Source organism: Homo sapiens, chromosome 8, assembly GCF_000001405.40.
Source record: "Homo sapiens chromosome 8, GRCh38.p14 Primary Assembly".
Classification (NCBI taxonomy): Eukaryota; Metazoa; Chordata; class Mammalia; order Primates; family Hominidae; genus Homo; species Homo sapiens.
In genome coordinates, this window is record NC_000008.11 from 143733981 (window position 1) to 143757751 (window position 23771).

At 50.8% G+C, this 23771-nt stretch overlaps 1 protein-coding gene across 6 annotated transcripts in view, besides 2 other annotated features; it reads left to right on the top strand.

Moving 5' to 3' along the window:
- IQANK1 (IQ motif and ankyrin repeat containing 1) overlaps positions 159–23771 on the top strand; it is a 56507-nt gene continuing 32894 nt past the window's right edge. For 2 of the 6 annotated variants that reach the window (NM_001381874.1, XM_047422102.1), the window contains exons 1-3: positions 159–239; positions 1870–1958; positions 5879–5968. In NM_001381874.1, coding sequence (NP_001368803.1) covers positions 1874–1958; positions 5879–5968 — 175 coding nt within the window. In that variant the 5' untranslated portion in view covers positions 159–239; positions 1870–1873. Of the gene's footprint in view, positions 240–1869; positions 1959–5878; positions 5969–7771; positions 12358–22396; positions 22756–23771 lie in introns of those variants that run through there. The other 4 variants (XM_047422100.1, XM_047422099.1, XM_047422101.1 and 1 more) reach the window with 4 other exon arrangements.
- Positions 3785–4650: an enhancer, noted in NCBI's record as "H3K27ac-H3K4me1 hESC enhancer chr8:144819935-144820800 (GRCh37/hg19 assembly coordinates)". NCBI's record gives its function as "activates a minimal SCP1, AML or CMV promoter by ChIP-STARR-seq in naive and primed H9 embryonic stem cells {active_cell/tissue: H9 hESC(naive and primed)}" and the evidence as "EXISTENCE:reporter gene assay evidence [ECO:0000049][PMID:30033119]".
- Positions 6379–7242: an enhancer, noted in NCBI's record as "H3K27ac-H3K4me1 hESC enhancer chr8:144822529-144823392 (GRCh37/hg19 assembly coordinates)". NCBI's record gives its function as "activates a minimal SCP1, AML or CMV promoter by ChIP-STARR-seq in naive H9 embryonic stem cells {active_cell/tissue: H9 hESC(naive)}" and the evidence as "EXISTENCE:reporter gene assay evidence [ECO:0000049][PMID:30033119]".

Consider the following 23771-nt stretch of genomic DNA (forward strand, 5'->3'; position numbering starts at 1 on the left):
CGCCCGGAGACCCCGGCCCAGCGCCGCCGGAGACCGTGAGGCCCGCACTTCAAAGACCCCGACCCCCGGGAGCCCAACTGTTGACCCAAGGCTCAAAGTTCCCAGCCTGACCCCTGACCCTCGCCCCGGAAGTCGGGGTGACTCGGAAGTTCCGGCTCAGTCGCTAGGAAACGAGCGAGCCCGACGCCAGGGGCGGAGCTCTGGCCTCCTCGCCGAGTTGGGGGAGGCAGGTGCGACAGGTGAGGACGGTGGGGCGGCGTCGAGCCCCGGGCGGGGCCGGGTCTGGGAGCCCCGAGAGCACAGGGGATCCCCTCACCACACACCGGTCTCCCACCGCACCAGCGCCCCACACGTAGACGAGGACCCCGCCCACACAGAGGACCCCCAGACCCCAACCCCCACCACACACACTGATGCCCACAAGTACCTGGGGTCCCCCATCTTTCTCCCTCACCCCCTCACACCGATGCCCACACTTGTAGGGGACTCTGCCGCAGTGACCCCCCCATGCACATGCGGACCCCGAATGACCTGTGCCTCATGTACACCAACCCCCAAGCACAGGAGACTCCTCAGGAAGACAGAAGCCACAAGCACACCGAGTCCTGCCCATGCCAGTCACCCACGAACACGCTGACATCCGCACACCTAGGGAACCCCACCTGCATATGAGATTTCTCAGACACCAACCCCACACACAAACAGGGGATGCCATATTCACACTGACTCTGAGAGCACAGGGGACCTCCCTCACATACGGAACCCTGTGTACACACAGGGACTCTGCAAAAACCAAGCCCCAACGGACAAGGGACCCAGTGTGCACACCAAGCCTCATACCAGACGCCCCCCCATGTACACAGCAACCCCCACACACCACCCCGAGCTGCCCCTGGGTGCTCCAGTCCCCCAGGTCCCCCTCAGGCCCTCACTTAGGGCCCCTCCCCCTCTTAGGCCCTGCCCTACACTGGATCATCTGTCCAAACCACCACCCCTCGCCCCTGCCACTCCCACCCCAAGGACTGGCCCTGCCTCAACCCTTTCTGATGGTCATCAGTCGCCTTTCTCTTTGTTCCTCTTGCCATGTGATCCTATTTTCTGTTTTCAGGGTCAGTCCCAGTTTCATTTGTTCTTTCCCCAAACACTCAGTGCCACCCCACTGGTACCAGCATGCTGGAAACATGGGTGGGGGGTCAGACCAGTGCCCAGGCAACTGTGCTGCAGCGGGTGAGGGGCATGGGGCACCGGGGAGGACCCGGACAGGCTGGGGCAGGCAGGAGGAGCCTCCCAGGGAAATGAACTTGGGGGTCAGCTGTGTGGACTAGGGAGAGGGGTGTTGCTCCAGGGCCTGACACCACCATCTGCCAGAGCCGGGACCACATAAGGTCTGAGGGTGTGGAGGGGTGAGTGCCTTGGGTGGGCTGGGGAGCAGGCTCAGGGGTGGGCTGGCTTCCCAGGGCAGTGGAGAGGCATGGAGGCTTCAGCAGAGAGGGCCATGCTCATGATTACGGTGAGAACAAAGACCGGCCCACTGGCAACCCAGCAGCTTGGGGCAGGGAGAAGAGTGCTAGACTCCAGATCCTGCGCCCGGCAGGATGGGCTGAGCCTGGGGCGGAGGGGCAGGCAAGCCACGGCCAGGGGGACGGGAGGTGGCCAAGTGCTCTTGCCAGGCATCCCGGCTCAAGCTTCTGGGCACACACCCGGGGCGGGCAGGCAGACAGGACACCAGCTGGGAAGCCTCAGGGGAGCCCATGTTCCTGCTGTCATCCACTCAGGCGCCCATGGTGTGCCCTGTTCCCCACTGCCACTGCCCCTGCCCTCTGCCACTCTGAGCACCCTCTCCCTGGTCCTTCCCTACCCACCCCCCAGGAGAATGGACAGTAAGAAGGGGAGACCCAAAGCTGCAGCTGGGAAGTGGCAGACGCTCCACCCTGGGCCCAAGACAAGAGCTGCTGCTGGTAAGTGCACCCTCTGACCTCCAGAGCACTGTCACCCAGACACTGACCTGTGAGACCTTCTATGTAGCCACCGAGAGACACCCCCTCTGAGGAGAGCCCTTCTTCCAAGAGTGGCTTTTAGGGGACCTCTGAGTTGGGATTAGGTGTGATTGACTGAGGGTTCAGAGCCCATTCATTCATCTCAGACCTTGAGCCTGAATCTATTTTTTTTTTTTTTTTTGAGACGGAGTCTCGCTCTTGTCACCCAGTCGAGTGCAATGGCGCAATCCCTCCTCACTGCAACCTCCGCCTCCTGGGTCCAAGTGAGTCTTGTGCTTCAGCCTCCCGAGTAGCTGGGATTATGGACGTGCGCCACCACGCCCTGCTGATTTTTGTATTTTTGTTTTAGTAGAGACGGGGTTTCGCCACATTGACCAGGCTGGTCTTGAATTCCTGACCTCAGGTGATCCGCCCGCCTCGGCCTCTCAAAGTGCTGGGATTACAGGCTTGAGCCACATGCCCGGCCAAGCCTGAATCTTATACCCCTGGGGTTGGGGTGGGGGCCTAGGGGTAGCACTCAGAGAAGCCCAGCTTTGGAACACATGGAGGTGGGAAGGGGGCAGGAGCCAGTGGGAGGCGCCTAGATGGCCAAAAATGGGTTTTGAAACAGGAGGGTTTGAGTCCAAGTTGGGGATTCTCAGTCTAAGCATGTGTTCTCTGACTCTCTGCTCCATCTGGGCCATCCTGTGCTGCCCTCTGCCTGCGGCTTTGCTCCCAGTCACCTTCTCCATAGTCACTTCCAGGTTGGATGGTGACAGCTCACCTGGGCTGGGTTTTCCTGTGGGTCAGGAAGGAGACTTCCCCCAGTACCCTCCCCCACCCCAGCCCCGCCTTCACTGTTGTCACTCCCTTGCTCCAGCTCCCATTTATTCTCTATGCTGGCTGTGAACACATTCCAGGTTGCAAATCTGGGGTCCTTCAGCACCCAGGCCTGCACTGGGGTCTGTGCTTGCTAAGAGAGCACCCCATCCTGCTCCCCAGACTGCCCCTCTGCTTAGAGTGGGCCTGGCCTAACACCCCTGGTTGCCAGAGAGCTCCCAGATTCACAGGAGCAGGTGGGATGATGGTGACCGCTCCTCCACGCCAGGCTGGGGTTAGATCCTAGTTCCCCAAAATAGCCCCAGCTGCGTCTGAGGCCAGCCGCCCTCCTGGAATGAGGATAATGGGCACAGGTGCCGCATGCTGCTTCCGCAATCTCTAGCCCTGAGTACACTGCACTCCAATAAACGGGGGGCAGGGCAGGTGGACCAGCAAGGCAGCCAGGAAACTGGGTTGCAGGGGTGGGGGCTGTGCTCTTCAGTTCTGCTACCTACTGACTGCACACCCAGGCCTTCGCCCTGCACCGCAGCCCATACACTGCCCTGGACGGCTCTGGCCCAGCATGCCTGGGTCTGCTGCAGGGACACCTCTGTCCCTGAACAAGTATCTGCCCTCAGTGCCCATTTCCACCAAGCATTGGGCCAGCCTGGGCAGGCTTGCTGTCCCTTGGTCTTGCAGTGCCCTGTGTGGCGGGCACCGGCTTCACTTGGCAGATGTGAAGATGGGCCCACAGATACCCTGCATCCAGCCTGGCTTCCTGGGCCTCCACAGGCATCCCTAGGTTGCTGCAGTGGCCACCGCACCAACACAACAGTCCGGGACCCCTCCCGCCACCCCATCCAGGCCTTACCTGGCCTTGGGTCTGCAGTGCTTCGAAGCCCTCACTCCGGAGCTGCTCCAGGGCCACGGCCAGCTGCAGCCCCTCCACGTGTACCCAGGCCTGCTCCTCCTGTAGCTGCTGCAGCCACAGCTGCTCCTCCTGTAGCTGCTGCAGCCATAGCTGCTCCTCCCGCCACAGCTGCATCTGCAGCTGGACCTGCCGCCACCGGTCCTCCAGCAGCAGCTGCTCCTGGGCCAGGCACAGCTGGACCTCATGGAGCCTCAGCAGTTCGGGGCCCAGGGCCGGCATGGGGTCCCCTGCTCCACAGCCTTCCATGTGCCCAGCAAGGACCAGCACCAGCTCAGACCCCGGAGCAGTGGCCGGCACCGGTCTCGAGGCTGCCTGTGGCTGCTCTGGCCTGGCCACCCTGGGGTGTCCCTGAGGTGCTGGCTCGATGCTGGTCACGTGCCCTGTAGGGGCCACCCCCGCTTCACCCTGAGGGCCCCCTGGGGTGGGGGGCGGGGGCTCGACCTCAGGGCCCTGCTGCCCAGCTGCCGGCTGGGCCCTGCCTGCCCTCCTGGCCCGGGGTTTGCGAACTCGACTTCGTTTCCCAGACATGGCCCTGGATCCAGCGCCTCCTTCACCAGGTGTCTGCTCCCCAGGGGCCCTGGCTCATGGACCAGCCGGCCTCAGGCCAGCTCAGAGGGCGTCCCTGGAGGCTACAGTGGCCGTGTGCTCCCACGCCAGGCTTGGCCCCCTGTTCCAGGTCCTGCCCCTTGCTGGAGCCCGCAGCACCGCAGCTCGGGACTCTGGCTCTGCCTATGGGCCTCACTGACCCCACTCGGTGGGGCCAGGCCACGCCAGGGAGTTTATAGGGACTCCACGGCGCGGTGGCTCGCCTGGGCTGAGAGGCTGACTAACGCGCTGACACGGCGGCACGGGGCTTTACAGGCCACGGGCCCTGCCGGCGAGACTGGGAGGGAGGCTGAGAAGCTGGAGGAGGCAGCGCAGCAGCCAGAGTGCCTGCTGTGCGCAGCAACGGGCGTGCCTGGTCCTGCCCTGGGCGGCACCAATGCCCCCCGCCCCCGCCCCATCCCGGCTCCCCCGGTCCCACAGCTGGTCGAGGGAAACTCAAACTGCAGGCCACAGGGCCAGGAGCTGCATCCTGGTCGCACTGACCCTCAGGGCCCAGACCCTCCCTGGCCACAGACAACCTGAGCCCAGCTGGCCATGGGAACCCGCAGCCCATGCACTCTGGAGGGCTCCAGGGCAGCTAGCACGCCCACAGGAGCCCCGCTGGGGTTTGGTGGAGACAAAGGACCCAGGGACCCGGTGGGAGCTAGGGCAGGGTTCGGGCCACTGCACTGCGGCTGGCTGGAGAGACTGGGCCCTCAAAGCCCTGCGTGGCACTTTGTGAACTGATGTGGGGCCCCGAGGAAAGTCCTGGCGGTCATGGAGGTGGGGCGGGGGCTCTTGGTGCCATCCTGGCTGGGGGCTGGCTGTCCTGCACTGCACTGCAACAAGGGCCTGACTGGATCAGAGCTGCCTTTGGGTCTCCAGGCTGGAGGTGGGGGTGCAGGGCTAGCCCCAAATGCCGGCGTCCTCTGGGCTTCTTGTTGGGAGGGTGGGCTCCAGGTGGCCTCCTCCCTAGCGTTTCCCCAGCCCGGGGCTGCTGACTCACGCCCACGCCCAGGGCCCCATCCCAGCCGGCTCAGCCACACTGGCCGGACTGGTTTGCCTGGCGCAACCCTGCCTGAAGCAGTGCTCCTGCTCCTGTTCAGTCCTAGTCCCAGAAGCTCAGGAGCAGAGGGACAGCCACCTGCCAGGGGAGTGCCGAATTGGACACACAGAGACCGGAAAGGGCCTGGGGGAGGGACGTGGCACAAGGTGGGGGACAGTGTCAGGGGTGGGGCAGGGCCAGCAGGCGGCACTGCCAGCCCACAGGGTCCTTCTAGCAGAGGCACCACCTGCCCATCCTTGGGCCCACAAGAGCCCAGGTGCCTTCCTGCGGGCTGGCTCTCGCCTGTGCCTCCCTGAGGCCCCCTGTGCAGTGGAGTATGTGCTGCTGGAGGAGCCCGTGCTCCTTAAGGTTGTCCGTGTGCTTCCCTCGGGAGGAGGCCCGGGTGGGGGGCTCCCTGTCTGCCAGGACGCACGGCCCTTTCGGTGCCCCATAAGTGTCTCTTGAGGCTAATGGGGATGGGGGTCTCTCATCCCAAGCTCACTGACGGTCGTTTTCCCTTAGGGAAGCCCGGGGAGAACCGCCCGCCGCAGAGGAAAGCGGGCTGGCAGGCGAGGGAGCCCGCGTCGGCTGAGAGCCCACAGGCCCCCACAGGTGAGAGCCCGCACGTCCCGCGCCGCTGTGGGTGACCGGGTGAGCTGTTGGCAGGGGGGTGCCCTGGCCCGGGACACGCTCAGTGTGGGCGCGCGCTTGCGTGTCATGTACACATGTGCTTGTGCGCGCACGTGTGGGAGTGCGCGTGTACGCGCACCTGTGAGCGCTCGGCGCAGGCCCGCGACACGCCCGAGCCCCTCCCGCCGCGCCCCGCTCTCGCCCACCTCCTGGTGCTCCACCTCCCCGCCGCCCGGGTGCGTGGCCTCTCGGGAAGACCCTACCCTGCGCCACTCGCCCTCGCGGGGGTCGGGGCCGCCTCCATCCCGGGTCCGCCGCGTCGTGCCCGCCCCGCGCGCGCCGCCCTCAGGTGGCAGGAAACGGGGCCCTGCGCGTCGCCTTGGGCCCGGATCGCCTTCTCAGGCTCTGCAGCTCCGACCCTGCGCTGTTCCCGACCGGTGTCGGCCGCTCAAACCTTCCTCCGGGCCCGATACCGCCCTGAGGCTCAGCAGCGCCTCCCAACGCGAACTCGTCGTCGGTCTCCACGCACCCGCTGCCTCCCTCACTGCTCATTCTGTCCTCGCCGCTGCCTGCCCTCCTGCTTCTGCGCTGGTGCCGCGGGACTGCCTCACCCACGGTTCCGCCTGCTCTTCCCTGGGCTCCTCTCCGCGGAGCCGACGGGGCCTCGCGGCCACATCAGGTCTGACCCTGGTGCGCCCCTGCTGGGCATGGGCCATGCTGGCCGCAGCCTCCAGATGCAGGCCTGGCACCGGCAGCCACCTGTCCTCCCCAGCCCAGGCCCGGCACCGCCCATCGCCTGATCGCCTGTGTACCCCACCACCCCGCCCCAGGTGTCAGGATAAGGAGCCTGACCCTGTCCTGAGGACGGGAGTAGTGGCAGTTGTTTGATAAGAGCCTCAGGGGTGCGGGAGCACCTCCGCGGAAGGCCCCGTGGTATGTCAGTGGTGGAGCGTGTCCAGTAGCTGGGGATTTGGCCTTGGCAAGAGGCAGCTATGAGAGGAAGCACGGAACACAAGCAAGGCCAGACTCTAGGGAACTCTGGGGAGGATGTCCCTTCTGTCACTGAAGGCCAGCACCGAGGCTCTGCCCGGGACCGTCTCCAATCATTCCTGTGTCTGGGTGTCACTTTTTCCAGGTGCAGGCTCCTGGTGGGAAACCAAGAGGCCGCTCTTCTGCTCTCAGTGTCAGGGAAAGGCAGGGACGCCCCCATTTTGCTTTCTGTAGTTTGAGGTGGACTCCTAGCCTTCCTCCAGGACAGCCCCGCCTCACTGGCTAGGCGTCTGGGGGCCTCAGCCGCTCTGCGGGGTGTGGGGCAGACAGGACCAGGGAGCTCCATCTTGTCGAGGGAAACTCAAACTGCAGGCCACAGAGCCAGGAGCTGCATCCTGGCCACACTGACCCTCAGGCCTTCCCATCAGGAGCCTGTACCTGGAGAAGGTGACACCAAGACACAGGGAGCCCCATGACCCCTGCCATGGTGCCTCTTTTTGCTACAAAGTGGGTTTCCAGCTCAGAAGCAGGGCTGCCGGGGGTGCTAGGACCGCACAGGTGGGGTTGGCAGGGGGGATTCTACACATGTGCCTGGGAGTCTATTTCAGGCAGAACAGACTGTGTCCCTTGAGAGCAGCAGGTGTGAAGTGAAACTGCCCTGCCTCCAGACGGCGGGCTCAGGGCGAGGCACTTAGCGTGGAGGGCGTGCTAGGCTCCAGCCCACAGCGGTGGCCACCCAGCTGACATGCCTTCGGAGGAGTCCATGCCGCTGACTCAGCGCTTTCTGTGCCGCAGGGACACCTGGTCGCCATCACATGGACACGCTATTTTTGCACTCGAGGCTATTCCAGGAAGTCCATCCAGACAGAGCACGCCTTCCCCAGCCTCCTCTTATTGGCCTGCAGCCCTGCTCTCCCCACGTCTGGTGATCTGTAAAGAGGGCTTGTTCTGCGTGGGTGGGACCTGCTCTAGATCCATCTTGGAAAATGAGCTCATGCCGTTGGTGTAACCACCATTCCTGCCCCCATGCCACTCTGCCCCGGGGCCTGCTGGCTGACGTCCATGGTGCAGTCGTGATGTCCACGAGCCTGTCTGTGCCCTCGCTGCGGCCGACTCTCTCTAGGAGCGTCCCCACAGGATGCAGAACCTCCCTTTGAGCTCGGTGTTCCCTGCTCCTCACAGAGCCACCCCCAAGCCTTTCCCAGCTGTCCGCATCACCACTGTCCCGGGCTCGTTCACTTCAGGCCCTGGAGAGCCAGCCCAGCCCTCACTGGTGTCCGGAGTCAGTGATACACAGCGCTCAAGTGACTCTTCCCACCCACAGGAAGTGGGTGATGAGGTGCCCCCCGGGGGCTTCCCTTGCTGCTGCCCGCCAGGATCTCCCTGCTTGGGACTACAGCATGCGGGGGAGGTCAGGCTGGAGTTGGTGTGGGAGCCTTTCCCAGCCTTTCCTCTGCATTGGTGCCCTCCCCAGGAGGCATCTGAGCTGCAAAAGGGGCGAATGCGATGTAGACACTTGGGCCCCGGGACTCGCCTGTGTCATCTGGGCTGGGCCCCACAAACACCACAAACACCTTTTCCACCACGCAATAGATGGCTGCTGGGCTGCCCAGGGGTGTGATGTGGAGCTGGGAAACCCAGCCTGGGAAGGCAGCATTCCAGGAGCTGCTTTCCAAAAGAAGAATAGCCTCCACCAGGAAGGTGTGGCTGAGCCCCAGAGCCCCAGAAACCTGCGGGAAGCTCCAAAGGGGGGCCTGCCAGAGGATACACAACCACCCTACCTCCTGCACACGGGATCCTCCAACCAGACAGTGTGGCCCAAGCAGCCTGGCTACTTTCACCTTAGCCAGCAGCCCTGGGCCACACTGGGGATGGTCCCAAACATGGCCTGTGCTGCTGTCACGGTGCTAAGGGGCCTGGCAAGCACGGGGTCTTTCTTGCTGGACGGAGGCACAGGTGCCAGAATCTATCTTTTGCCCTACAGTGTCCCGGCACAGCCTAGATCTATGGACCCCTTCACCGGGTGCTTTATCCCCCACCCCCCAGAACTCCTGGGACCATTGAGATGCCCAGGAGATGGGGGGGCCCTGTGCCTGTGTCCCGTTGCTGCTATAGCAGCCACCACATCTACCAGCTCTGCAGGGTAGCCACCGGGCACGGCCTTGCCAGGCTGACGTCGAGGAAAGCCAGCCGTGCTGTGGGTTTCCTTCCCTCTGGCTCTCCACTTCTGCCTCCCTCTTCCACTGTTTTTGGTTTGGGTTTTTGTTTTGTTCCGTTTTGTTTTTTTTTGAGACAGGGTCAGCTGTCTTGCCCAGGCTGGAGTTCAGGGGCTATTCCCAGGTGTAACCCTAGCTCACTGCAACCTCCAACTGCTGGGCTTAAGTGATCCTCCTGCCTCAGCCTGAGTAGCTGGGACTACAGGTGTGTGCTCCCACGTCTGGCAAGCCTCTTTCAGTATAACTGTATGGGTTTTTCTCCATCTTTTTTTCGTCTTTACAATTTTTGTTCTCAAGGACTTGGGCTGTTTGACTTGAGTCTTCCAGTCTGGATTTTGCTGATAAGATGGAACACCTCGAGAGTGCATCTTTGTTAACATTTAGACATGCGTCCCCTCCTCGCTTGCTCAGTGGAATTACGATTGCACTTGGAAATGTATCGTGTTGGGTGTGTTCCTTAAGCTGAACTTCCGTAGATCTGGCAGGACATTTAACACCAGAACACGAAGCCTGCTTCAGAAGTGACTGAAACGGCATCTGCCTCACAGTGCATATTTAAAAAATGATTTTGTTGTGTGAATAATTATGCTGCCATCTACAGATAAGTGAGATCAGAAACATTAGTTTCATATATTGTAGTTTTTAGTTTCTGAATACTTATTGGATTCTTTTTCTTTTTTTTTTGAGATGGAGTTTCGCTCTGTTGCCAGGCTGGAGTGCACTGGGGCTTGGCTCACTGCTACCTCCGCCTCCCAGGTTCAGGCAATTCTCCTGCCTCAGCCTCCTGAGTAGCTGGGACTACAGGCACCCACCACCACACCCAGCTAGTTTTTGTGTTTTTAGTAGAGACAGGGTTTCACCATGTTGGCCAGGATGGTCTCGATCTCTTGACCTTGTGATCCGCCCGTCTCAGCCTCCCAAAGTGCTGGGATTACAGGCGTGAGCCACCAGGCCTGGCTCCTTTTCCACTTTCATGGACCCTCGTGATTGCATTGGATCTCCCCGGGTAATCTGGGATGTTCTTCCTGGCCTAAGGTCAGCTGATTAGCAACCTTAGTTCATCTGCAGTCTCCATTCTCTTTTTGCTGAATCACGTCAAGTATTCACAAGTTCCAGGGGGCAGGAGGTGGACATCTTTGGGGGACATTATTCCGCCCACCAGAAAACCCAGGAGCAGCCACAGCCCCAAGACGAGGCAGGGAAGGAGTGCTGCTGTCTGCCGGTGAAGATGAACTGCTTCTGACCCTCCCGAGCGAGGATATTGAGAAGAAAGAATTTGCCAAGATGCTAGTCACACACCAAGTACAGAGGCTATGTTGGTCGGCTGCAGCAAAAAGACCACTCGCGGCGTGGCAGCTCTCACTGGCCCTGCTGCCTCTTCAAGTTGACTGCAGTCCATCACCCACGGTCATTATTAATTTGTTTTTGCAAAGGCCAGGCAGGTGAATCTAATGGAGATGGAAACCACCACACCTGCTTCCCTGGTCTCTGATGTTGGTGTTAACCTCTGCAATTCCTCAAGCAAAGCACTCCTTCTATCAGGCTCACTGTCTTGCTGGAGGGAGGAAGTTCCACAGGCTCTCACTTGGTTCTTTCTGCCGTAACAACCCTTACTCCTCCGGCCAAGGAGCCAATGTGAGCATTCAGCTGGCAGCTAAGAATGTGTATCCCAATAAACAGGGCAGACCTACAGACCCACTGGACCCACTAGAGATGGACTTGGGCCACAGTGCCTTCCATGACTTCAGTAAACAGAGGGGTGTGGTGATCTTGTCAAAGTCCTGGCGTCAATGTCAGTGTCCGGCTACACACCATGTTCCCGTCCTCGAAAAGCCTCTCTGTACCCCTCTATGTTGGTGACACAACCCTGGCAAATGGCCACAGACTCCTTTGGGGACAGAGTAGGAGCGTAACTGGTGGGAGTGGTTGGCATGCTTTGTATTGGGAGAGCCGCACGCCCTAGGGCTTCCAGCCTCCTCTTCAGTTTGGCAGCTGTGAGTCTGAATTTCACTCAAATCTGGAAACTGGGTGAGAGACTGTGGCAGCTGCTGTCCGGCTGGCAGAGCCTGACGTGTCTCTGATCATACTCACTGGGTCAGCAACACCCTACTGACCTTGTCCAGAATCCCACATCCCAGTTGATATCAGGGCAATCAGTTTCCTGGCTGTTTTCCCCAATATCAACCCGGGCTTACAGAAGACAGTCACCACAGAGCTCCTGCCAGGAGTTCACTCATTCGTGCATTTCTTCCTTTTTTTTTTCTTTTTGAGATGGAGTCTCGCTCTGTCGCCCAGGCTGGAGTGCAGTGGAGCGATCTCGGCTCATTGCAACCTCCGCCTCCTGGGTTCAAGCGATTCTCTTGCCTCAGCCTCCCAGGTAGCTGGGATAGCAGGTGTGTGCCACCATGCCCAGCTAATTTTTGTATTTTTAGTAGAGATGGGGTTTCATCATGTTGCCCAGGCTGGTCTCAAATTCCTGACCTCAGGTGATCTGCCCTCAGCCTCCCAAAGTGCTGGGATTACAGGCTTCAGCCACCACACCCAGCCTCATTCATACATTTCTTATTGTTGTTGTTTGAGACAGGGTCTTTCTCTGTCACCCAGGATGGAGTGCAGTGTTGTGATCATGCCTCAGTGCAGCGATCATGGCTCAGTGCAGCCTCAAACTCTTGGGCTCAAGCAGTGCTCCAACCTCAGCCTCCTGAGTAGCTAGGACTATAGGCACACAGCACCATGCCCCGGCTATTTTTTTATTTTGTAGAGATGGGGTCTCACTATGTTGCCCAGGCTAGTATTGAACTCCTGGCCTCAAGCAATCCTCCCACCTCGGCCTCCCAAAGTGCTGGGATTAAAGGCGTGAGCCACCGTACCTTGCCCTTGGTGGAATCTTTAGGGTTTTCTATTCATACATATAAAATCATATCATTGGCAAACAGAGATAATTTTACTTCCTCCTTTCCAATTTGGATGCCTTAGATTTCTTTTCCTTGCCTAACTGCTCTGTCTAGAACTCCCAGCACTATGCTGAATAGAGTGGCAAGAGCAGGCATTTGCCTTGTTCCTAACCTTAGAGAAAAATCCTTCAGCCTTTTACCATTGAGGATGATGTTTGCTGTTAGTTTTTCATAAATGATCTATATCAGGCTGAATAAATTTCTATTTCTAGTTTGTTGAGTGTTCCTTGTTTATTTTGGTTTTGGTTTCTCTCACTCTCTTCTTTTTGAGCAGGGGACAGGGGCACAGTCTGTCACCCAGGCTGGAGTGCAGTGGTGTAATCCCAGCTCACTGCAGCCTCGACCTCTGGAGCTCAAGCCATCCTCCCATCTCAGCCTCCCAAGTAGCTGGGACTACAGGTGTGTGCCATCATGTCTGGCTAAATTTTTAATTTTTTGTAGAGATGGGTTCTCACTATGTTGTCCAGACTGCTCTTGAACTCCTAGGCTCAGGTGATCCTCCCACCTTGGTTTCCCAAAGTGTTGAGATGACAGGTGTGAGCCACCATGCCCAGGCTTTGTTTGGAGATGTTTGATTACTGATTTAATCTCCTTGCTAGTTATATGTCTATTCAGATTTCCTATTTCTTCATGATTTAGTCTTGATAAGTTTTGTGTTTTTAGGAATTTGTCCACTTCATCTAGGTCACTCAATTTGTTGGCATATAATTGTTCAGAGTACTCTCTTATGATATTTTTTATTTATTTATTTTATTTTATTTATCTATTTATGAGATGGAGTCTTGCTCTGTTGCCCAGGCTGGAGTGCAGTGGCACTATCTCAGCTCACTGCAAGCTCCGCCTCCTGGGTTCACGCCATTCTCCTGCCTCAGCCTCCCAAGTAGCTGGGATTACAGGTGCCCACCACCACGCCCGGCTAATTTTTTGTATTTTTAGTAGAGACTGGGTTTCACCCTGTTAGCCAGGATGGTCTCGATCTCCTGACCTCGTGATCCACCCGCCTTGGCCTCCCAAAGTGTTGGGATTACAGGAGTGAGCCACCGCGCCCGGCCTATATTTTTTATTTCTATAGAATCAGTAGTAATGTTCCCACTTTTATTTCTGGTCTTGTAAATTTTAACCTTCTCTCTTTTTTCGTTAGTCCATCTAGCTAAAAGTTTGTCAATTTTGTTGATCCTTCCAAAGAACCAACTTTTAGTTTCATTTGTGTTCTCCATGTTTTTATATTCTCTATTTTGTCTATCTCTAATCTTTATTATTTCCTTCCTTCTGCTAGCTTTGGCTTTAGTTTGGTCTTCTTTGTGTATTTCCTTAAGTTATAAAGTTAGGTAGGTTATTGATTTGAAATCTTATGTATTAGTTTCAGCGTTTATGGCTGTAAGTTTCCCCCTTAGCACTGCTTTTGCTGCATCTCCTAAGGTTGGTATGTTGTGTCTTTGCTTCCATTTGTTCCTAAGTATTTCCTAATTTTCTTTGTGATTTCTTTTTTGATCCATTGACTGTTGAAGGGTGTTTTTTTTTAAAAAAGAGTATATTGTTTAATTCCACCATTTTGTGAATTTTCCACTTTTACTTCTGTTATTGATTTCTAACCTCATCCCACTGTGGTCAGAGAAGAAACTTTGCGCAGCGTGATTTTAAAAAATCTATTGAGAGTTAATTTGTGGCCTAACATATGGTCTACCCTTGAAAATATCCCATGTACACTTGAGAAGAATGTATATGCTATTATTGGCTAGAGTGTTCTGTATGTCTGTTAGATCTAGTTGGTTGATTGTGTTAAGTCCTTTCCTTTCCTTTCCTTTCCTTTCCTTTCCTTTCCTTTCCTTTCCTTTCCTTTCCTTTCCCTTTCCTTTCCCTTTCCTTTCTTTTCCTTTCTTTTCTTTTCTTAGGGTTTCACTCCTGTCACCCAGGCTGGAGTGCAACAGCACAATCTCGGCTCACTGCAACCTCTGCCTCCCGGGCTCAAGCGATTCTCCTGTCTCAGCCTCCCAAGTAGCTGGGACTACAGGCATACACCACTGCGCCTGGCTAATTTTTGTATTTTTTATACAGACAGGGCTTTACCGTGTTGCCCAGAGTGGTCTTGAACTCCTAAGCTCAAGTGATCTACCCGACTTGGCTTCCCAAAGTGCTGGCATTACAGGTGTGAGCCACCATGCCCAGCAAGTCCTTTATTTCTTTACTTATCTTCTTATCTTCTGCCTGGTGGTTCTATCCATATGGGGGCGGGTATTATCTCCAACTATTATTGTAAAACTATTTCTCCCTTCAGTCCATTGTGTTGGCTTTTGCTTCATATATGTATATATAAATATATATATCATATATAAATATACATGATATATAATATATAAATATAGATGATATATATGATATATAATATATAAATATAGATGATATATATGATATATAATATATAAATATAGATATATATATCATATATAATATATAAATATAGATATGATATATATCATATATAATATATAAATATATAATATATCATATATAAATATATAAATATATATCAATCATATATAAATATATAAATATATATCATATATATCATATATAAATATATAAATATATATCATATATATCATATATAAATATATAAATATATATCATATAAATATATATAATATATAAATATATCATATATAAATATATAAATATATATCATATAAATATATAAATATATATTTCATATATAAATATATAAATATATATATCATATATAAATATATAAATATATATATCATAAATACTTAAAAATATACATATATATCTATATATAAATATATAAAAATATATACATATATCTATATATAAATATATATCATATATAAATATATCATATATAAATATATATCATAAATATATATCATATATAAAATATAAAAATATAAATATATATCATATATTAAATATAAATATATATCATATATGATATAAATGTATATAAATATATAGCATATATGATATAAACGTATATATAGCATATATGATATATATCATACATGATATAAATGTATATATCAATATATATAATATATAAATATATATCATATATAAATATATCATATATATCATATATAAATATATACCTATATATCATATATGTTATATATGATATAAATGTATATATAAATATATATAAAAATATATAATATATAAAAATATAAAAATATATATAAAAATATATAAAATATATAAAAACATAAATATATAAAAATATATAAATATATATAAATATGTGAATATATAATTATATATCATATCATATATAATATATACATATATCTCATATATAATTATATATTATATATCATATATAATATATAAATATATGTATAAATATATAAATATATATCATATAAATATATAAAAATATATATCACATAAAAATATATGATATATATGATATATATCATATATATCAATCATATATATATATTTTATTTATTTATTTATTTTTTTTTTTTTTGAGACGGAATCTCACTCTGTTGCCCAGGCTGGAGTGCAGTGGCATGATCTCGGCTCACTGCAATCTCCACCTCCTGGTACCTGGGATTATAGGTGCCTGCCACCATGCCTGGCTAATTTTTGTGTTTTTTGTGGAGATGGTGTTTCGCCCTGTTGGCCGGGGTGGTCTCAAACTCCTGACCTCAGGTGATCTGCCCACCTGAGCCTCTCAAAATGCTGGGATTACAGATGTAAGCTACCATGCTTGGCCTGCTTCATATATTTTGATGATCAGACATTAGGTACATACATATTTATAGTTATTATATATTCTTGCTATATTGAACTTTTTTTGATATATAATGTCCTTCTTTGTCTCTTGTGAACTTTTTTTTAAATTTTATTTTTATTTTTATTTTTTATTTTTTTTGAGGTGGAGTTTCGCTCTTGTTGCCCAGGCTGGAGTGCAATGGCACGTTCTCGGCTCACTGCAACCTCTGCCTCCTGGGTTCAAGCAATTCTCCTGCCTCTCAAGTAGCTGGGATTACAGGCATGCGCCACCACGCCCAGCTAATTTTGTATTTTTAGTAGAGACGAGGTTTCTCCATGTTGGTCAGGGTGGTCTCGAACCCCCGACCTCAGGTGATCCGCCCGCCTCAGCCTCCCAAAGTGCTGAGATTACAGGTGTGAGTCACCGTCCCTGACCTCCCTTGTGAACTTTTTTGATTTAAAAATGTATTTTGTCTGATACTAGTACAGTCATTCCTCCTCTTTTGGTTTCTATTTGCATGGAATATCTTTTTCTATGTTTTCATTTTCAATGTTTGTGTTTTTCAATCTAAAGTGAATCTTTTGTAGACAGCATATACTTGGATCAGGGGTTTTTATTCATCCTGCCAATCTCTGTCTTTTGATTGGAGAGTTTAATCCATTTACATTTAAAGTAATTAGTGATAAGGAGAGACTGGGCACAGTGGTTCATGCCTGTAATCTCAGTGCTTTGGGAGGCTGAGATGAGAGGGTTGCTTGAGGCCTGGAGTTGGAGACCAGCCTGGGCCACATTCTACAGAAAATTAGCCAGGCATGGTGGCATGTGCCTATAGTGCTAGCTACTTGGAAGGCTGAGATGGGAGGATCACTTGAACCCAGGAGTTTGAGGTTACAGTGAGCTATGATTGCACCACTGCACTCCAGCTTCGGTGACAGAGCAAGAACCCACCTCTAAAAAACAAAAAATAAAATAAAATTAATAATTACTGACAAGAAAGGACCTACGTCTGTCATTTTGCTATGTGTTTTATATATGCCATATAACTTTTTTTGTCCCTCATTTCCTGAATTACTGTCTTCTTTTGTGTGTGTGTGTGTGTGTGTGTTTTTTTGTAGTGAAATGTTTCAATTTCTTCCTCAATTCCTTTGGTATATATTCTATAGGTTTTCTTTGTGGTTACTATGGGGTTTACATTTAACACCCTAAAGTTCTAACTCTCCAATTTGAATTTATACCAGCTTAACTTCAACGACATAAAAAACTCTGTTCCTTTACAGCTTTGTCTCCACTCCTTTCAGTTGCTGATGTCACAAAATTACATCTTTATACATTGTGTACTCCAAAACATAAATAATTCTTATAAATGCACTGGTCTCTTAAATTATCTAGGAAAAAAGTGGAGTTACAAACCAAAATTATAGTAATAGTAGCTTTTAAATAATTTAAAAATAATAATTTAAAAATATGGGCTGGGCATGGTGGCTCAGGCCTGTAATCCCAGCACTTTGGGAGGCCAAGATCGGTGGATTACCTGAGGTCAGGAGTTCAAGACCAACCTGGCCAATATGGTGAAACCCCGTCTCTACTAAAAATACAAAAATTAGTCGGGTGTGGTGGCAGGTGCCTGTAATCCCATCTACTTGGGAGGCTGAGGCAGGAGAATCACTTGAACCTGGGAGGCAGAGGTGGCAGTGAGCCAAGATCATGCCATTTCACTCCAGCCTGGGCAACAGAGCGAGACTTCATCTCAAAAAAAAAAAAAAGTGTGTGTGTGTGTGTGTGTGTGTGTGTGTGTGTGTGTGTATATATATATATAAAATCCTATACAAAACAGACATAGACTTAGAAGTTACCCACATGTTTATCTTTATTGAGATCTTTATTTCTTCTTAACAGCTTTGAGTTACCATCTAGTGTCCTTTCAACCTGCAGGACCTCCTTGAGCATTCCTTGCAGGGCAGGTCTAGTGGTAACAAACTCCTTCAGCTTTTGTTTATCTGGGAATGTCTTATTTTCTTCCTCACATGTGAAGGATAGTTTTGCTGGATATAGGATTCTTTTTTGCCAGTTTTTTTTTTCTTTTAGCACTTTATTTATTATTCTTATTATTTTTTTATTTTTGAGAGAGAGACTTGCTCTGTTGCCCAGGCTGGAGTGCAATGGCACAATCTTGGCTCACCGCAACCTCTGCCTCCCAGGTTCAAGCGATTCTCCTGGCTCAGCCTCCCGAGTAGCTGGGATTATAGGCGCCTGCCACCAGGCCCAGCTAATTTTTGTATTTTTAGTAGAGACAGGGTTTCACCATGTTGGCCAGGCTGGTCTCAAACTCCTGACCTCAGGTGATCTGCCCACCTTGGCCCCCCAAAGTGCTGGGATTACAGGCGTGAGCCACCACACCCAGCCTTTCTTTTAGTGCTTTAAATATATTGGCCCTCTGCCTTCTGGCCTCCAAGTTTCTGATGAAAAATCTGCTTGTCATTTTATTGAGGATCCCTTGTATGTGACAAGTTTCTTCCCTCTTGCTACTTTCAGGATTCTAACTTTGCATTTCAAAAGTTAGACTATAATGTGTCTCAGTGTGGGTCTCTTTGAGTTCATTTTACTTGGAGTTACTTGAGCTGCTTGGATGTTTATATGCATGTCTTTCATCAAATTTGGGAAGTTTTCAGCCATTATTTCTTCAAACATAGTCATAAGCTGCATAATGACATTTTGGTCATCAATGAACTGCATATATGATGGTGGTCCTCAAAGATTATAATACTGTATTTTTACTGTACTTTTTATGTTTATATGTACTTAGATACACAAATACTTACCATTGTGTTATAATTGCCTAAGTATTAAATACAGTAACATGCTGTACATATTTGTAGCCTTGGAGCAATAAGTTATATACCATATAGTTTAGGTATACAGTAGCTATACCATGTAGGCTTGTATAAGTACTCTCTACGATGTTCACACAATGTTGAAATCACATGAGGATGTATTTCTCAGAACATATTTTTGTTGTTAAGTGATGCATGACTGTATTCTCTCTGCCCCTTTCTCTTTCTTCTCTTTCTGAGGTACCTAAAATGTATATGTTGGCCCGTTTGATGGTGTCCCACAGGTCCCTTACTCTCTGTTCGTTTTTTTTTTTTTTTTTTTTTTTTTGAGACAGGGTCTCACTCTGTCACCTGGGCTGGAGTGCAGTGGCACAGTCACATCTCACTGCAACCTTGACCTCCTGGGCTTAAGCAATCCTCCCTCCTCAGCCTCCTGAGTAGCTGGGACTATAGGTGTGTGCCACCATGCCTGGCTAATTTTTGTTTTTGTTTTTATTTCTTGTAGAGACAGGGTTTTGCTATGTTGCCCAGGCTGGTCTTCAACTCCTGGGGTCAAGTGGCCCACCTGCCTCAGCCTCCCAAGGTGCTGGGATTACAGGTGTGAGCCACCGCACCTGGCCTTTTTGTTAATATTTCCATTTCATTCATACATTATTTTCTTGACTTCTTCCATGTCTTCCTTTAGTGCTTGAGTTCTTTAAGATAATTGTTTTAAAGTCTTTGTCTAGTAGCCATGCCATCAAGGTTATTTTTAGGGAAAGTTTCTTTTTTTTTTTTTTTTTGAGACGGAGTCTCGCTGTCTCAGGCTGGAGTGCAGTGGCATGATCTCGGCTCACTGCAACCTCTGCCTCCCGGTTTCAAGTGATTCTCCTGCCTCAACCTCCCAAGTAGCTGAGATTACAGGTACCCTCCACCATACCTGGCTAATTTTTGTATTTTTAGTAGAGATGGGAGTTTCACCGTGTTGGCCAGGCTGTTCTCGAACTCCTGACCTCAGGTGACCTGCCTGCCTCGGCCTCCCAAAATGTTGCGATTATAGGTGTGAGCCACCACGCCCAGCTTTTCAGAGATAGTTTCTGTTGATTTATTTTTGTTTTCCTTTGAATTGGCCATACTTTCCTGTTTCTTTGTATGCCTTGTGAACTTCTGTTGAAAACTGGACATTTGAATCTAATAATGTGGTAACTCTGGAAATCAGACTCTCCTCCTTCCCCAGGGTTTGCTGGGTTTTGTTTGTTTTTTTTTCTTTTCTACTGTTGTAGGCTGTCTCTTTCCAAGGCTCAGCTGGGGTATAAACTTACGGTCTTCTTGGGACTCTTCTGAGCCTTTCTTTGGCATTTATGGTCACTTTCTAATTTCCCCAGTATATACAGTTGTTTTGAATGTCCTAGCCTTTCATGTTTGGCTCCTAAGAAGAGAAAAAGAGAAAAATCAAGAGGGAAAAAAAGGCACCAGCTCTTTAAAGCCCTGGAAGTCACTTCAGCCAGAGGGGGAGGGGCTTGCAGCAATGTGGGGAGGGGCCATGACAATGGCTGCTGCTGCTTTGTCTGCCCCTCAGGAGCCATTGCTGCTTAACAAGTGGTTACAGACTTCGTGACTATGTTATCATTCGGCCGTATCCGTGGGTCAGGAGTCCGGGCACAGGCTAAATGGGTCCTCTGGCTGAGCACCTCTCCCAGGGCTAACGCCAAGGTGTTTCAGCCAGGGCTGCATTCTCATCTCAAGGATCGACTGGGGAAGGATGCGCCTGCAAGCTCCCATGCTTGTTGATGAAATTCAGTTCCTTGTGGGCAGTTGGGCTGAGGGGCCCCCATGTAGCTCAGTTTTGCTACATGAGCCTCTGCCTAGGACATCTTGCAACATGGCGCTGAATTCATCAAAGCCTGCAAGGGAGAGAGTCTGCCATCAAGACAAAGGTAGCAATCTTATTTTTATTATTATTTTTTTTTTGAGATGGAGTCTCTCTCTGTTGCCCAGGCTGGAGTGCAGTGGCCTGATCTCAGCTCACTGCAAGCTCCGCCTTCTGGGTTCACGACATTCTCCTGCCTCAGCCTCCTGAGCAGCTGGGACTACAGGTGCCAACCACCACGCCCGGCTAATTTTTTTGTATTTTTAGTAGAGACGGGGTTTCACTGCATTAGCCAGGATGGTCTCGATCTCTTGACTTCATGATCCGCCCACCTCGGCCTCCCAAAGTGCTGGGATTACAGGCGTGAGCCACCGCGCCCAGCCAGGTAGCAATCTTCTGTAACGTAACTACAGGAATGATGGACATCACATCCCATTACCTTCACTGTGTTCTCTTGGTTAGAAGCAAGTCACAGGTCCCACCCACACTCAAGGGGAAGGAATTACACAAGGCATGAATACCAGGAGAAAGGATAGCCAGGGCCATTATAGAGCTTCCCCCACAGCACCATAAATCAGTCACTGATTCAAAGCATATACTGCATCCCATAAGATACAGTGATATATTCTCAGGATACAATCTCCCAACTGGCACTGCAACCAGGTCTTAAGGCCACTAAACATTCTATCACGCCAGCTCCTCTTGAGCCAGGACACCTAGCAAGACCAGTGCATTCCATGGGAAAGAAGTTAGCTGGAAAATAAGTTCCTTAGTCCGCATCAATGTTGTGTATGTTACCATGATGTGGAATAAATATTTTATTTCATTTATTTATTTATTAAGACGGAGTCTTGCTCTGTCCCCAGGCTGGAGTACAATGACGTGATCTTAGCTCACTGCAACCTCCGCCTCCCAGGTTCAAGCAATTCTTGTGCCTCAGCCTCCTAAGTAGCTGGGATTACAGGCGCCTGCCACCATGCCAGGCTAATTTTTGTATTTTTAGTAGAGATGGGGTTTCATCATGTTGGCCAGGCTGGTCTCAAACTCCTTACCTCAAGTGATCCTCCCGCCTTGGCCTCCCAAAGTGCTGGGATTACAGGTGTGAGCCACTGTGCCTGGCCAGAATAAATATTTTATAAACTCATGGTGGCACGGGCAACATCATTGCAGTCAAGAACAAATTCATATCTAGAATCCATTCCTCCAGTGAGGACACGCAGTGCCCCTTCATGATGGAAAGGGTTCAGTGTGGTCAGCCTGCTGGCAGGTGGCTGAGCCCCTGGAAGTGGAGCCATGCTGGGGGCTCAGTGTCCATCTCTGCTGCTGGAAGGTTCAGCATTCAGTGGTGGCAGCCTTGGGGGGAGGAAGATCTAATCTATGTTGTAGAGCCCATGCAAAGCCCCCATCTCTGCTGCTGCTCATTGATAAAGCATGAAGGTGGCTGGAAAGCATGACTGCCATCCACAGTGCATGGTTTCAACCTCCTGATGATCCCTCTTGGTACATCTCCCCAAAATGCATGACTCTGGTGGACATTTGCAAAGGTGCACAACATCTTCACATTCTGTGCTGTCCACCCACATCCTCTTTCCCAGATATGCTTCTTACCAGTCTCCCAAGCCTGCTCTTTTTGGTATCTAGCCAAAGCATTAACTACCACCAGGAACTAAGTCAATATTTTCTTCCACGGATCTCTTAGTCCCGACAAAGTGGACAACACAATTCACAGCTCAAAGTGCTTCTCATTGCCAGGCACACTCCTGACTTAAGGCTGGAGCTCAGTACACCACGAGGGACTGTCTGAGAACCAGGGCTGCTTTTCTTTCCTTGTCAGGTGACCATGAGGAGCTTCCCAGGATGCCATTGGTGTGGATCAATAGGGAGGAGGTGATGGAGGAGCACCCCGTGTCACAGGCATCTGAGCCGCCAGGACCTTCGCACACCCAGTTTCTTATGTTTCATCTTCATTCATGGTACTCGGTGTACCATGAATTGCTGGTACACACGCCCAACCTCGTGGCTTGGTGGGTCTGGTGCCATCGGTTCATGATGACTATCCCAAATGGTGTAGTTATTGGGTGTCTTGTGATTAGGCATCAGTGCTTGCCAGGGCCCCATAGCAAACCAGAGTTTTTTTCTCAAAAGAATAGCTTAGGCTCACGTCTGTAATCCCAGCACTTTGGGAAGCTGAGGCAGGAGGATTGCTTGAGCCCAGGAGTTTCAGACCAGCCTGGGCAACACAGTGAAACAGTGTCTCTACTAAAAAAATTAAAAAAAAAAAAAAAAGTAGCTGGGTGTGGTGGTGCACACTTTTAGTCCTAGCCACTTGGGAGGCTGAGGCAAGAGGACTGCTTGAGTCTTGGGAGGTCAAGCTGCAGTGAGCTGTGATCGCGCCACTGCACTCCAGCCTGGGTGACAGAATAGGACCCTGTCTAAAAAAAAAAAAGTCTTATGCAGAAAAGAGCATGACTTTGCTCTAAAACGCTAGGGTTCTGTGCTGTGATTTTCTTACTGGGTTTCTCCAGAAGCTTCAAACAATATTCATATGTGCAACTGACAGTCAGAGTGTCACTGATCTATTGGGACACAAGGCTTAAGTGGTGAAGCAGGTGGCATTGAATGCTGGTCTTAACTGCAGAGGCTCTTCTTGCCCAGGGGCCAACTCAAAGCCACCAGACCATGAACTAATTGATGAATGGGTTGCAGGGCTCCAGGGTCGCCTTTGAAAAAGCACATAGGCCTGCAGATACGCCCGGTTTATAGTGGCAGGTAGTGTAAGGTACATAATGTGTCTTTCTTTTTTTTTTTTTTTGAGACGGAGTCTCACTCTGTCACCCAGGCTGGAGTGCAGTGGTGCGAGCTTGGCTCACTGCAAGCTCCGCCTCCCGGGTTCATGCCATTCTTCTGCCTCAGCCTCCCAAGTAGCTGAGACTATAGGCGCCCGCCACCACGCCCAGCTAATTTTTTGTATTTTTAGTAGAGAAGGGGTTTTCACCATGTTAGCCAGGATGGTCTCGATCTCTTGACCTCATGATCCGCCTGCCTTGGCCTCCCAAAGTGCTGGGATTACAGGCATGAGCCACCACGCTTGGCCACAATGTGTCTTTCATCTTAAAATTTTTTTTTTTAGAGATGGCGTCTCACTGTGTCACCCACTCTGGAGTGGCATAATCATAGCTCATTGCAGCCTAGAACTCCTGGGCTCAAGC